This window comes from Homo sapiens, chromosome 12, assembly GCF_000001405.40.
Source record: "Homo sapiens chromosome 12, GRCh38.p14 Primary Assembly".
NCBI lineage: Eukaryota > Metazoa > Chordata > Mammalia > Primates > Hominidae > Homo > Homo sapiens.
The window spans coordinates 121604902-121620830 of NC_000012.12; the positions used below are offsets into that span (position 1 = coordinate 121604902).

Below are 15929 nucleotides of genomic sequence, written 5' to 3' on the forward strand. Positions count from 1 at the left end.
GTACTCACTCACTTTGGCAGCACGTATACTGAAATTGAAACCGCACATAGCACTTTAGCATGGCCCTTGCGCGAGAATGACAAGCAGATTCATGAGGCTGAGACATTCCATGTTAAAACAGCAGCAACAGAAGCCCAGCAATCCCAGTGTCTCTTTGAAATTCTCCATGGCCGGGCGTGGTGGCTCACGCCTGTAATCCCAGCACTTTGGGAGGCCAAGGTGGGTGGATCACGAGGTCAGGAGATCCAGATCATCCTAGCTAACATGGTGAAACCCCATCTCTACTAAAAATACAAAAAAAATTTAGCCGGGTGTGGTGGCGGGCGCCTGTAGTCCCAGCTACTCAGGAAGCTGAGGCAGGGGAATGGAGTGAACCCAGGAGGCGGAGCTTGCAGTGAGCCGAGATGGCACCACTGCACTCCAGCCTGGGCAACAGAGTGAGACCCCATCTCAAAAAAAAAAAAAAAAAGAAATTCTCCACGGACCCATCCCAGTCTCTTCCTCCTAACCCCCTGAAAGTACTAGTATATTTTTGTATTTATCGCTTATTGTACCATTGCAGGGTTTTTTTGTTTGTTTATTTGTTTTTGAGATGGAGTCTTGCTCTGTCACCCAGGCTGGAGTGCAGTGGCGCGATCTCAGCTCACTGCAACCTCTGCCTGCCGGGTTCAAGTGATTCTCCTGCCTCAGCCTCCCGAGTAGCTGGGATTACAGGTGCCCGCCACCATGCCTGGCTAATTTTTGTATTTTTTGGTAGATATGGAGTTTCACCATCTTGGCCAGGCTGGTCTTGAACTCCAGGCTGGTCTTGAACTCCTGACTTCGTGATCCACCCGCCTCGGCCTCCCAAAGTGCTGGGATTATAGGCATGAGCCAGCACGCCCGGCCTTTTTTTAAATTTTTTTTCGAGACAGAGTCCCACTCTATCACCCACCCTGGAGTGCGGTAGCGCAGTCTCGTTTACTGCAATCCCCTCCTCCCAAGTTCAAGGGATTCTCCTGCCTCAGCCTCCCAAGTAGCTGGCATTACAGCTGCGCACCACCACACCCACCTAATTTTTGTATTTTTTAGTAGAGACGGGGTTTTGCCATGTTAGCCCAGCTGGTCCCAAACTCCTGACCGCCTGCCTCAGCCTCTCAAAGTGCTGGGATCACAGGCGTGAGCCACCGTGCGCTGGCCTAGTTTTTATATATATTGTTTTCTTTGGCATGTTCTTTTTGTTTTGAATCATTCACTTGTTTCCTTTTTATTTTTAGAGATGGGGGTCTCCCTCTCTCACCCAGGCTGGAGTGCACTGATGCAATCACAGCTCACTGCAGCCTCAAACTCCTAGGCTCAAGGGATCCTCCTTCCTTAGCCTCCCCAGTAGCTAGGACCACAGGTGCAAGCCAGCATGCCTGGCCAATTTTTTACTTTTATTTTTTGTAGAGACAGGGTTTCGCCATGTTGCCCAGGCTGGTCTTGAACTCCTGGCCTCAAAATATCTCCCTGCCTCTGCCTCCCAAAGTGCTGGGTTTACAGGTGTGAGCCAATGCACCCAGCCATTTCTTCTTTTTTGATTTAAAAATATTTAATTGATAATGGCCAGGCGTGGTGGCTCACATCTGTAATCCCAGCACTTTGGGAAGCCAAGGCGGGTGGATCATGAGGTCAGGAGTTCAAGACCAGCCTGGCCAACATGGTGAAACCCTGTCTCTACTAAAAATACAAAAATTAGCCGGGCGTGGTGGTGCGCGCCTGTAATCCCAGCTACTCAGGAGGCTGAGGCAGGAGAATAGCTCGAACCCGGGAGGCAGAGGTTGCCGTGAGCCGAGATCGTGCCATTGCACTCCAGCCTGAGACAGAGCAAGACTCTATCTCAAAAAAAAATTTTAACTGATAAATTGAATTGTATATATTCAAGATGTACAGTGTGATGAGTTGAAATCCATTGTGTCCTGATTACCATGGTCATATTGATTAACGCATATCCATCACTCCCATAGTTTCCATTTTACTTGTCCTGTCTTTGAATTTTATGTAAATAGACTTGATAGTATACATATACAATTGTCCGAATGTTAGTGTCCCCCCAAAATTCATGTGTTGGAACCTAATACCCAATGCAATAGTATTAAGAGATAGGTCCTTTGGGAGGTGATTAAGTTATAAGGTTCTGCGTGTGTGAAGGGATTAGTGCCCTCATAAAAGCAGCTCGAGGGGGCTATGTGCTGTGGCTCATGCCTGTAGTCCCAGAACTTTGGGAGGCTGAGGTAGGCAGATTGCTTGAGCCCAGGAGTTCGAGACTGGCCTGGGCAAACATGGGGAGACCCCGTCTCACTACACAATATTAGCCGGTTGTGGTGGTGCATTCCTGTGGTCCCAGCTACCCAGGATGCTGAGGTGGAAGGATCACCTGAGCCTGGGAGAATGAGGCTGTAGTGAGCTGTGATTGTACCACTACACTTCAGCCTGGGCGACAGAGTGAGATCCTGTCTCAACAACAGCAACAACCAAATAAATAAATAAAAGAGGTCCCCAGCCTGGCCAACATGGCGAAATCCTGTGTCTACTAAAAATACAAAAATGTGCTAGGTGTGGTGGTGCATGCCTGTGATCCCCAAGGGAGGAGAATCACTTAAATCCAGAAGCTGGAGCTTGCAGTGAGCTGAGATCATGCCATTGCACTCCAGCTTGGACGACAGAACTGACCTTGTCTGGAAAAGAAAAAAAGAGACCCGAGTGGAGAAGCTAGCCCCTTTCCACCATGGAAGATACAGCAACAGGGTGCCATTTTTGAAGTAAACTAAGTCCTCACCAGAGACCGAGTCTGCTGGTGACTTGACCTTGAACTTCCCAGCCCCCAGAACTATGACCAATACATTGCTGTTGTTTTATTTATTTATTTATTTTATTTTATCTGAGACAGAGTTTCACTCTCTCACCCAGGCTGGAGTGCAGTGGCTTGATCTCAGCTCAATGCAACCTCTGCCTCCCAGGTTCAAGCAATTTTCCTGTCCCAGCCTCCCGAGTAGCTGGGATTACAGGTGCCCACCACCATGCCCAGCTAATTTTTTGTATTTTTAGTAGAGACAGGGTTTCAACATTTTTGCCAGGCTGGTCTTGAACTCCTGACCTCAGGTGATCCACCCACCTCAGCCTCCCAAAGTGCTGGGATTACAAGCGTGAGCCACCATGCCCAGCCTAGTTTTATTATTTGTAGAGATGGGGTCTGGCCATGTTACCCAGGCTGATCTGGAACTCCTGGGCTCAAGTGATCCTCCTGACTTGACCTCCAAATGTGCTGGGATTATAGGCACCTGGCTTGAAATTTTGTTTGTTTGTTTTGTTTTGTTTTGAGATGGGGGCTTACTCTGTCACCCAGGCTGGAGAGCAGTGGTGCGATCTCCACCCGCTGCAACCTCTGCCTCCCAGGTTTAAGCGATTCTGATGCCTCAGCCTCCTGAGTAGTTGGGATTACAGTCATGCGTCACAACACACTGCCTGGCTAATTTTTGTATTTTTGGTAGTGATGGGGTTTCGCCATGTTGGCCAGGCTGGTCTTGAACTCCTAACCTCAGGTGATCTACCCGCCTTGGCCTCCCAAAGTGCTGACATTGCAAACGTGAGCCACCACACTGGAGAGATAGGCAGGAACTAGATCACATCAGTCTTTCCCATGCTGGGGAAGGCGCTTGGATTTCATCCTAACTCAGATTCTCAGATGCATGGTCACTGGAGGGCTGTACACAGTGTGGCAGGCTGAGTAAATGTCCCCCAGGGATGTCCATGTCTTACTGTCTGGCACCTGTGAATATGTGACCGTATATGGATGAAGGGACTTTGCGGATGTGATGGAGTGAAGGATTTTAAGATTGATCCTGGATTACCTGGGTGGGCCCAGTGTAACCACAGGTGTCCTCAGGAGAGGTAGAGGAGGTCAGAGAAGCGATGTGACAATGGAAGCAGAGTCTGGAGAGGCGTGACCTGCTTTAGAAACAGAAGGGGCTGCACACTAAGGAATGCAGGCAGCCAGCAGAAGGGAAAAAGCAAGAAATGGATTTTCCCATTATCTCATTGGAGCCTCCAAAGGAACCAGCCCTGCTGTCACCTTAATTTTGGCCCCTGATGATTCATTTTGAACTTCTTACCTCTAGAACTAAGATAATGAATTTGTGTGTGTGTGTGTGTGTGTGTGTTTGTGTGTGTGTTTTGAGATGGAGTCTCACTCTGTCTCGCCCAGGCTGGAGTGCAGTGATGTGATCTCGGCTCACTGCAAGCTCCGCCTCCCGGGTTCAAGCAATTCTCCTGCCTCAGCCTCCCGAGTCGCTGGGATTACAGGCACCCGCCACCACGCCTGGTTAATTTTTGCTTTTTTTTTTTTTTTTTTTTTTGGAGACAAAGACTCGGTCTTGTCCCCCAGGCTGGAGTGTGATGGCGCAATCTCGGCTCACTGCAACCTCTGCCTCCTGGGTTCAAGAGATTCTCATGCCTCAGCCACCTGAGTAGCTGGGATTACAGGAGACTGCCACCACGCCCGGCTAATTTTTGAAATTTTAGTAGAGATGGGGTTTCACCATGTTGGCCAGGCTGGTCTCGAACTCTTGACCTCAGGTGATCTGCCCACCTCGGCTTCCCAAAGTGCTGGGATTACAGGCATGAACCGCCGCGCCCGGCCAATTTATGGTAATTTCTTACAGCAGCAATGGGAAACTAATACAAGCAGAGAAAGGACATGATCAGATTTATGTTTCAAAAACTATTTCTTGTTGCTATTACAGAATGGGCTTTAGCGGGATCAGCAGAAGCAGAGAGCCCGGGTGGGTAACTGCAGACGTGTGGGTGGGCAACAATGGCAGCCCGGATGTGATGGAATGGTTGCTGCTGGACGGAAGAGCTCAGATCTCAAGAAAATGCTAGGGGAGGCCGGGCGCAGTGGCTCACGCCTGTAATCCCAGCACCTTGGGAGGCCGAGGCAGGTGGATCACGAGGTCAGGAGATCGAGACCATCCTGGCTAACAAGGTGAAACCCCGTCTCTACTAAAAAATACAAAAAAAAATTAGCTGGGCGTGGTGGCGGGCGCCTGTAGTCCCAGCTACTCAGGAGGCTGAGGCAGGAGAATGGTGTGAACCCGGGAGGCGGAGCTTGCAGTGAGCCGAGATCGCGCCACTGCACTCCAGCCTGGGCGACGGAGCGAGACTCCGTTTCAAAAAAAAAAAGAAAAAGAAAAAGAAAATGCTAGGGGCTAGAACTGACTGGGTTTATTGATGAATTGGATATTGTGGGGAAGGGTGCAGTCTAGGAAAGTGACTGCAGCGTGACTCCTGGGGTGATCAGAACTACAATTTCTCCAGCTTCTCTGGGGCCTCACAGAGCCACACTGTGTTTGACAGGCTGTTCCCAGGATGCGGGTGTTTTTATGTGATTAGGCTGGAACTGTTCTCTGGGAAATAAATGCCCTCAGTCTAAAGGGCTTTTACGAGCCAGGGCAGGGGATTAAAGGCGGCCGGGCTGTGGAGAAATCCCAGGGTTAGGAGACAGCTGAGCATGGAGACTTTTAATCTAAACCTTAAACGTTTTTATTTTCCACTCCTTGAACTCAGGGTGTCACTTTAAATACATGTTTGGCAACATCAGCTGTTCTATTTTTCTTTTTAATTATACAAAGCGAGATCCTGGAAATGGCTCAGCCCCAGGCTGGGGGAGGCAAGGGAAGTTTGGCAATGGTAGGAGGCAGAGAAACCAACTAAAAATCTAGTGGATTTGAAATCCTTTTGAGGGAGCACAGAGGCCAAACTTCGAGCCACCCTGAACTTGGTAAGAGCTGCCCTGACTCAGGATTTCTAAAAGGAGACCGACAGACTCACCAGCTTAGAATGGAGAGAGGACAGATGGACACGTCTCCAAGACAAAAATATCACCAGCCCTAGCACTGTTCCTGTACCTCGAATTTATTCCCAGGCCCTGTCCTGTTAGCTCAGCTCTTTTCATTTCTTTTCTTCTTTCTTTCTCTTTCTTTCTTTTCTTTCTTTCCCTTTCTTCTTGCTCTTTCTTTCTTTTCTTTTCTTTCTTTCTCTTTTTCTCATTTCTTTTCCTCTTTCTCTCTCTCTCTTTTTTTTTTTTTATTAGAGGCAGGGTTTTACTATGTTGCCCAGGCTGGTCTTGAACTCCTGGGCTCAAGCGATCCTCCTGCCTCAGCCTCCCAAAGTACTGGGATTACAGGTGTGAGCCACTGTGCCTGGCCCTGTTACCTCCTTTCATCCTCTGAGCAGAAAACAGCTAACTAGGTTGTTCATGACATCTATGGGGTACTCCCTACTGTGTGCCAGCTGCTGGGCTCACCTGCTTACACGTGTTACACTGTTGTAGGCAGTCAGCTATTCTATAAGTAGGTGCTATTATTATCCCCGTTTTCTAGATGGGGAATCTGGAATCTCCAGAGAGAACGGATGGAACCCCCACACCCCAGTGTTGGGCCTGCACTTCTTTGCCCTTGGACCCCTCCCTTGCCTTTCTCTAGCCTTGCTCCAGATCACAGGGTGGCCAACCTTTGGCAGGGTGGCTTCCTGCACAGATGGACCAACTGGAGGCAGTGCCAGGAGCCTGGTGGGTGGGAGGAGCCTGGTGGTGGGAGGAGCCTGGTGGGTGGGAGGAGCCAGGTGGTGGGAGGAGGGGAATCCAGGGTGTTCCTACCCCTCTGCCTCAGGTGGGATCTCCAGCTCCACCTCCCACCAGACAGGTCCACTGTGGCTCTGGCTTCTGCCTGAGGACTCCAGTCCCTCTTCGGTACCAGAAACACCACCCCCTGCCTCTGTCCCTCCAACCCCAGGGTGATAGCAGTCCTCCTGCTGGGGCTAACCTGGGGGCTGCCCTTCCCCTGCCTGCCTTTTCCTGTAAGTCTTCCATTACCCCTGGAGCAATTCTCAGGATAAATGCTCTTAGTGTGGTAACTGTTTGTCCTGGTCAGATTCTCACAGATATACTACCTTCACTAAAGACTTACAGATCAGTCAATTCATTCAATCTGGAAGGCAGCAATCCTCTTTCTCTGAGCACAGCACATCCCATGAGAGGGAAGGTTGGAGCCACCATTTACTGAGCGCTGTGCTAATTGCCAGACAACTTTTCTTTCATGAAACACTCATAACAACCTCTTTGCCAAGTCCCATCAATATTCCCCTTTCACAGATGGGGCTCAGAGAGGCTGGGGTGCTTGCCCAAAGTGGCACAGTTACAAACTGACAAAACTGGGATTCAAATCCAAGAGTGCCTAGCTCCAAACTCTGCATAATGATCTAATCTCATCTGAACACACTTGCAGCCCCATTAGAATTCAACTTCCTTGGCTGGCTGAAGACCCCACCCCAAATCACTCCAGCCTCCTTGTATTCTTTTCTTCTTCTTTTTTTTTTTTTTTTTTTGAGATGGAGTCTCACTCTGTTGCCCAGGCTGGAGTGCAGTGGCGCGATCTTGGCTCACTGCAAGCTCTGCCTCCCAGGTTCACGCCATTCTCCTGCCTCAGCCTCCCGAGTAGCTGGGACTACAGGCATCCGCCACCACGCCCAGCTAATTTTTTGTATTTTTAGTAGAGACAGGGTTTCACCATGTTAGCCAGGATGGTCTCGATCTCCTGACCTCGTGATCCGCCTGCCTTGGCCTCCCAAAGTCCTGGCGTGAGCCACCGCTCCTGACCTGTTTTTTGTTTTTTGTTTTTTTTTTTTTGAGACAGAGTCTCACTCTGTCACCCAGGCTGGAGTACAATGGCCTGATCTCAGCTCACTGCAACCCCCGCCTCCTGGGTTCAAACGATTCTTCCACCTCAGCCTCCCGAGTAGCTGGGACTACAGGCGTACACCACCATTCCCAGCTAACTTTTGTATTTTTTAGTAGAGACAGGGTTTCGCCATGTTGCCCAGGCTGGTCTCCTGACCGCAGGTGATCCGCCCACCTCGGCCTCCCAAAGTGCTGGGATTACAGGCGTGAGCCATCACGCCCGGCCCCCCCAAAAAAATTTTTTTAAGTCCCACAAACTGGGTGGCTTAGGAGAGAAACTTATTGTCTCACAGTTCTGGAGGCCAGAAGTCCAAAATCAAGATGTCAGCAAGGCCACGGTCCCTCGGAAGGAACCAGGGAAGGACATGCCCCAGGCCCTGCTGCTCGAGCTACCTGGCTTGTAGACGGCCGTCTTCTTGTGTCCATTCATGTGGTCTTCCCTCTGTACATGTCTGTCTGTGTCTAAATTTCCTCCTTTGTTTTTGTTTTTTGTTTTTTGTTTTTTTTTTCTGACAGAGTTTCGCTCTTGTTGCCCAGGCTGGCGTGCAGTGGTGCGATCTTGGCTCACTACAACCTCCTCCTCCCGGGTTCAAGCCATTCTCCTACCTTAGCCTCCCGAGTAACTGGGATTACAGGCACATGCCACCACGCCCGGCTAATTTTGTATTTTTAGTAGAGATAAGTTTTCTCCATGTTGGTCAGGCTGGTCTCCAACTCCTGACCTCAGGTGATCCGCCCGCCTCGGCCTCCCAAAAGGCTGGGATTACAGGCGTGAGCCACGGTGCCTGGCTGTTTTTGTCTTTTTTGAGACAGGGTCTCACACTGTTGCCAAGGCTGGAGTGCAGTGTCACGCTCACAGCTCAGTGCAGCTTTGACCTCATGGGATCAAGCAATGCTCCTGCCTCAGCCTCACTAGTAGCGGGAACCCCAGACAAGAGCCACTGCTCCTTGCAAATTTCACACTTCTCCTTTTTATAAGGATATTAGTAATATTGGAAGAGGGCTGTATGAGTCTGTTCTGTCATTGCTATAAAGAAATACCAAGCTGGGCACGGTGACTCACACCTGTAATTCCAGCACTTTGGGAGGCCCAGGCCAGCAGATCACCTGAGGTCAGGAGTTCGGGACAAGTCTGGCCAAAATGGGGAAACCCTGTCTCTACTAAAACTACAAAACATTAGTCGGACGTTGTGGCAGGCGCCTATAATCCCAGCTACTCGGGAGGCTGAGGCAGGAGAATCGCTTGAACCCAGGAGGTGGAGGTTGCAGTGAGGCGAGATTGCACCACTGCACTCCAGCCTGGGCAACAAGCACAAAATTCCATTTAGAAAAAAAAAAAAAAAAATGAAAAGAAATACCTGAGGCTGGGCACCATGGTTCACGCCTGTAATCCCAGCATTTTGGGAGGCCGAGGCGGACAGATCATTTGAGGCCAGGAGTTCGAGACCAGCCTGGCCAACATGGCGAAACCCCCTCTCTACTAAAAATACAAAAATTAGCCGGGCGTGGTGATGCACTCCTGTAATCCCAGCTACTCGGGAGGCTGAGGCAGGAGAATTGCTTGAACCAGGGAGGTGGAGGTTGCAGTGAGCCAACATTGAGCCACTGCACTCCAGCCTGGAAGACAGAGCGAGACTCCATCTCAAAAAAAAAAAAAAAAAAAATACCTAGGCCGGGCACAGTGGCTCACGCCTGTACTCCCAGCACTTTGGGAGGCTGAGGCAGGTGGATCACGAGGTCAGCAGTTCAACCTGCCGGTCCAAGATGGTGAATCCTCATCTCTACTAAAAATACAAAAATTAGCTGGGCGTGGTGGCAGGCACCTGTAATCCCAGCTACTCGGGAGGCGGAGGCAGAGAATTGCTTGCACCCAGAGGCGGAAGTTAAAGTGAGCCCAGATCGCGCCACTGCACTCCAGCCTGGGCAACAGAGTGAGACTCTGTCTCGAAAAAAAAAAAGAAAAAGAAATACCTAAGACTGAGTAATTTATAAAGAAAAGAGGATGAATACAAAAAAATCAGCTGGGCGTGGTGGCAGTCGCCTGTAGTCCCAGCTACTCCGGAGGCTGAAGCAGGAGAATGGCCGTGAACCCGGGAGGTGGAGCTTGCAGTGAGCTGATATTGCGCCACTGCACTCCAGCCTGGGCGACAGAGCGAGACTCCGTCAAAAAAAAAAAAAGAAAGAAAGAAAGAAAGAAAAGAGGATTAATTGGCTCTTGGTTCGGAAGGTTGTGCAGGAAACATTGCAGCATCTGCTTCTGGGGAGGCCTCAAGAAGCTTCCAATCATGGCGGAAGGCAAAGGAGGAACCAGCCCTTCACATGGCGGGAGCAGGAGGAAGAGAGGGGCGGGGAGGTGCTATACACTTTTAAACAACCAGATCTCACTCACTGTCATAGCACCAAGAGGATGGTGCTAAACCATTCATGAGAAACTGGCCCCGTGATCCAATCACCTCTCACCAGGCTCCATCTCCAACACTGGGGATTACAATTGAACATGAGATTTGGGTGGGGACACAGATCCAAACGAAATAAGTGCCCACCCTATGACCTCATTTTAATTTGATTACCTCTGTAAAGGCTGTATTTCCAAATGAGGTCACATTCTTCGTTTTTTTTTGTTTGTGGTTTTTTTTTTTTTTTTTAGAGAGTTTCACTCTTTCGCCCAGGCTGGAGTGCAATGGCACAATCTCAGCTGACTGCAACCTCTGCCTTCCAGTGTCAAGAGATTCTCCTGCCTCAGCCTCCCAAGTAGCTAGGATTACAACAGTCGCTTGCCTTCACACCCAGCTAATTTTTGTATTTTTAGTAGAGATCGGGTTTCACCATGTTGGCCAGGCTGGTCTCCAACTCCTGACCTCCTGATCCACCCTCCTCGGCCTCCCAAAGTGCTGGGATTACAGATGTGAGCCACCGTGCCTGGCCACAGTCTTCTTCTTTTGTTTTTTTTTGAGACGGAGTCTCGCTCTGTCACCCAGGCTGGAGTGCAGTGGCGTGATCTCGGCTCACTGCAAGTTCTGCCTTCCAGGTTCACGCCATTCTCCTGCCTCAGCCTCCCGAGTAGCTGGGACTACAAGCACCTGCCACCATGCCTGGCTAATTTTTTGTATTTTTTTCATTAGAGACGGGGGTTTCACCGTGTTAGCCAGGATGGTCTCGATCTCCTGACCTCGTGATCCGCCTGCCTCGGCCTCCCAAAGTGCTGGGATTACAGGCGTGAGCCATCGTGCCCAGCCGGCCACATTCTTCTTTTTGAGGTGGAGTTTCACTCTTGTCTGCCGGGCTGCAGTGCAATGGCGCAATCTTGGCTCACTGCAACCTCCACCTCCTGGCTACTTTTTGTATTTTCAGTAGAGATGGGGTTTCACCATGTTTGCCAGGCTGGTCTTGAACTCCTGACCTCAGGTGATCCGCCTGCCTCAGTCTCCCAAGGTGTTGAAATTACAGGCGTGAGCCACTGCGCCCAGCCCCAAATGAGGTCACATTCTGAGGTACTGAGGTTTAGGACTGCAATGTCTTTTTTGGGGGGACACAGTTTAACCTTTAAGAGTCCAACCTGATCTCATGTGTCTGATCTCTGCAGTGTGGCCTGCTTTGCTAATAGAGGATGTCAGACCGTCCAGGAAAATGATCCTGCTGACACCCACCAAGTTAAGGGATATAGTGATTCTCCAAGGCATATGTGTATTGACAAAATTTACCCCAACATTCTGTACAGCAAATTCAGTTTTGAAAAAGGAGAACTAGACTAGGCGTGGTGGCTCATGCCTGTAATCCAGCACTTTGGGAGGCTGAGGTGGGTGGATCACCTGAGGTCACGAGTTCAAGACCAGCCTGACCAACATGTAGAAACCTCGTCTCTACTAAAAATGTAAAAATTACCCGGGCGTGGTGGTGCATGCCTGTAATCCCAGCTACTCGGGAGGCTGAGGCAGGAGAATCACTTGAATCCAGGAGGTGGAGGTTGCAGTGAGCTGAGATCATGCCATTGCGCTCCAGCCTGGGCAACAAGAGCAAAACTCCGTCTCAAAAAAAAAAAAAAAAAAAGAAAGAAAGAAAAGAAAAGAAAAAGAGAACTAGGCTGGGTAGGTTAGCTCACGCCTGTAATCCCAGCATTTTGGGAGGCCATGGCAGGAGGATCGCTTGTGTCCAGGAGTTTTGAGACTGGCCTAGGCAACATATTAGATCCCATCTTTATAAATAATAAAAAATTAGCCAGGTGTGGTGGTGTGTGCATGTAGTCTCAGCTACTTGGCAGGCTGAGGTGGGAGGGTCACTTGAACCCAGGAGGTCAAGGCTGCAGTGAGCCATAATCGTGCCTCTGGACTCCAGTCTAGGCAACAGAATGAAACTTCATCTCAAAACAACAACAACAAAAAAGAAGCTGGTCACAGTGGCTCTAGCCTTTAATCCCAGCACTTTGGGAGGCTGAGGCAAGCGGATCGCTTGAGCCCAGGAGTTCAAGACCAGCCTGGGCAACGTGGCAAGACCCCCTGTCTCTACAAAAAAAAAAAAAAAAAAAAAAACACAAAAATTAGCCAGATGTGGTGATGCAGGCCTGTAGCCCTAGCTACTTGGGAGGCTGAGCTGAGAGGATCACTTGCACCCGGGAGGCAGAGGTTATAGTGGGCTGAGATTGTGCCACTGCACTCCAGTCTGGGCAAGAGACCAAGACCCCTGTGAAAAAAAAAGAAGGAAGGAAGGAAGGGAGGAAGGGAGGGAGGGAACAAGTTGAAGGTCTTACCTCTACCTGACTTTAAGACTTATTTTGAGGCCGGGCGTGGTGACTCATGTCTGTAATCTCAGCACTTTGGGAGGCTGAGGTGGGTGAATAACCTGAGGTCAGGAGTTCCAGACCAGCCTGGCCAACACGGCGAATCCCTGTTTCTACTAAAAATACAAAAATTAGCTGGATGTGGCAGCAGGCACCTGTAATCCTAGCTACTCGGGAGGCTGAAGCAGGAGAATCGCTTGAACCCGGGAGCCGAGGTTGCAGTGAGCCCAGAACGTGCCATTGCACTCCAGCCTGGGCAATAGAGAGAGACTCTGTCTTAAAAAAGAGACTTTTTTTTTTGAGACAGGGTCTTGCTCTGTCACCCAGGCTGAAGTGTAGTGGCCCCGTCTCGGCTCACTGCAACCTCCACCTCCCAGGTTCAAGCAATTCTCCTGCCTCAGCCTCCCGAGTAGCTGGGACTACAGGTGCGTGCCACCACATCCGGCTAATTTTTGTATGTTTAGTAGAGACAGGATTTCACTGCGTTGACCAGGCTGGTCTCAAACTCCTAACCTCGTGATCCGCCCGCCTCGGCCTCCCAAAGTGCTGGGATTACAGGCGTGAACCACCATGCCCGGCCGAGACTTTTTTTTTTTTAATTTTGAGGAATTTATGGGGTTTTTTTTCCCCAAGACTTATTTTATTTTTATTTATTTATTTATTAATTTATTTACTTTTTTTTTTTTTTTTGAGATGGAGTCTCACTCTGTCACCCAGGCTAGAGTGCAATGGCGCGATCTCAGCTCACTACAAGCTCTGCCTCCCGGGTTCATGCCATTCTCCTGCCTCAGCCTCCAGAGTAGCTGGGACTACAGGCGCCTGCCACCACGCCTGGCTAATTTTTTGTATTTTTAGTAGAGATGAGGTTTCACCGTGTTAGCCAGGATGGTCTCGATCTCCTGACCTTGTGATCGGCCCGCCTCGGCCTCCCAAAGTGCTGGGATTACAGGCATGAGCCACTGCGCCCGGCCAATTTATTTACTTTTGAGACGGAGTCTTACTCTGTCGCCCAGTATGGAGTGCAGTGGCGTGACCTCGGCTCACTGCTACCTCCGTCTCCCGGGTTCAAGGGTTCTCCTGCCTTAGCCTCCCAAATAGCTGGGACTACAGGTGCGGGCCACCATGCCCAGCTAATTTTTGTATTTTTAGTAGAGATGAGGTTTCACCATGTTGGTCAGACTGGTCTCAAACTCCTGACCTCAAGTGATCCGCCCACCTTGGCCCCCCCAAAGTACTGGGGTTACAGGTGTGAGCCACCACGCCCTGCCCCCAAGATTTACTTTAAACCTAGAGTAATCAACACAGTATCTATTGGCATGAGAGTAGACAAATAGATCCACAGACTAGAATAGAGAGTTCAGAAACAGTCTGTCATGTATAGTAGTCACGTGATTTTTGACAAAAATGTCCATGCATTTCAGTGGGGAAAGCTTGCTTCACTCAAAAATCTGTATTTGATTGATGGGCTATAGGCTCAGCTACTTGAGAAGCTGAGGCAGGAGTGAGAATCACTTGAGTCATGAATTTGAGGCTGTAGTGTGCAATGATCACACCTATGAAGAGCCACTGCACTCCAGCCTGGGCAACAGAGCAAGACCTTGTCTCTAAGAAAAAAACAGAAATAGAAAAAAATCAGTATGACACGGATCACAGACCTAAACATACAAGCAAAAACACTTTTATTTTTGGCGGGGTGGGTGGAGGGTAGAGACAGGGTTCCACTATGTTGCCCAGGCTGGTCTCAAACCTCCTGGTCTCAAGTGATCCTCTCGACCTGGCCTCCCCAGGTGCTGAGATTATAGGCATGAGCCACCATGCCTGGCCTAAAACTTTTAAAAGAAAACACAGGTGAATATCTTCGTGACCTTGTGGTTGGCAAAGATTTCTTTTTTTCTTTTTTTTTTTTTTTAAATAGAGTCTTACTCTATGGCCCAGGCTGGAGTGTAATGGTGTGATCTCAGCTCACTGCAACCTCCGCCTCTTGGGTTCAAGTGATTCTTGTGCCTCAGCCTCTTGAATAGCTGGGATTACAGGCATGTGCCACCATGCCCGGATAATTTTTGTATTTTTAGTAGAGATGCAGTTTCACCATGCTGGCCAGGCTGGTCTCGAACTCCTGACCTCAGGTGATCCGTCCACCTCAGCCTCCCAAAATGCTGGGATTACAGGCATGAGTCACCGCGTCGTCAGCAAAGATTTCTTATCCAGGCCAGAAAAAGTTCTCACTTTTAAAGGCATGGGCACAAACTCAGACCCAACAAAGACTTCTGACCAGTGAGGGGGTAGGAGTGGAGGGAGGAAGAATGAGCACTATAAGCCCAGAAACTGGAGAGCAAGGAGACAGAGTTCACACTCCCCTGGCATAGTCTAAGCTCCAGAGTCAGAGAACCATTCTGAGACCAACACCAGGGCTCACCAACCCGACCCCATTCTGCATTTTGTAACCAGCCCCCTGACAGTGTCTCACTTGGTTTCCAGCCTCCTTCACCCCAATTCTTTGACCATGAAAACCTTCAAGATCACTCACAAAAGCTGCCTCCCAGATGTCTTGTGGAGCTGGCACCAGGGCTGGCTGGCAGAGGGATTTCATGCATTCTGAGTCAGGACACAAGGAAGGACTGACAGGGAAGCTGCCCCCAGCTCCATACAAGGACAACTTTTGAAGTATCAGACAACCAATCAGACATGCTCAGCTTCTAGAAGGAGTGAGCTTCCCATCGCCAGGGGTATGAAAACATTGTTCTAGCCGGGCTTGGTGGTGCATGCCTGTGGAGCCCAGGAGTCCGAATGCAGCCTGGGTAACACAATGAGACCCCTGTCTCCCCACCACCAAAAAAAAAAAAAAAACTGTGGGGAAAAGTTAGTAACCATGGACCCCTCTAGGATCCTGGGGCAGGAGGCAGGGATGGTCCAGACACCCCACCCAAGTTTTTATTACTTGTGATCTGTGCAGATGGGGAAATTCAAACCACACAGAATATTAGGAGAGGGGTGAGGAGCGTGACATAGTAGCTGGGGAAAGGAAACCCTCACCACCCCAAAGCCCCCTCTGAGTCACCACTCCCAGATCCTTTTGTTCCTCTAAAATCAGCAAATCTCTCCTCCCAGCTTCCGGCCTCTTCCCCCTCCAGACCTCAGGCCCTCTTAGCTGCTAAATGTTGTGTGTTCCTAGTCCTGAACTGGGGGTTTCTGGGAACCAAGGACATTGCATTGTTTTGTTCATTGAACCTGTTTCCATTGGCAGTAGCCAGTGGGAGGCCCTGGGGTGATAGCGACGTGATTGATTGATTGATTGATTTTGAGAGACTGAGTCTCCCTCTGTCGCCCAGGCTGGAGTTCAGTGGCAGGATCTCGGCTCACTGCAACTTTCGCCTCCTGGATTCAAGCAATTCTTCTGCCTCA

General features: G+C 49.8%; 1 pseudogene, besides 2 other annotated features; it reads left to right on the forward strand.

The window, feature by feature from the left end:
* On the forward strand, window positions 1-111 carry RNU6-1004P (RNA, U6 small nuclear 1004, pseudogene; annotated as a pseudogene).
* Window positions 10146-10195: a silencer, noted in NCBI's record as "silent region_4980". NCBI's record gives its function as "represses an Ori minimal core promoter by ATAC-STARR-seq in GM12878 lymphoblastoid cells {active_cell/tissue: GM12878}" and the evidence as "EXISTENCE:reporter gene assay evidence [ECO:0000049][PMID:35858748]".
* Window positions 15463-15757: an enhancer, noted in NCBI's record as "tiled region #5022; K562 Activating DNase matched - State 8:EnhW". NCBI's record gives its function as "activates a minimal TATA promoter and a strong SV40 promoter by Sharpr-MPRA in K562 cells {active_cell/tissue: K562}" and the evidence as "EXISTENCE:reporter gene assay evidence [ECO:0000049][PMID:27701403]".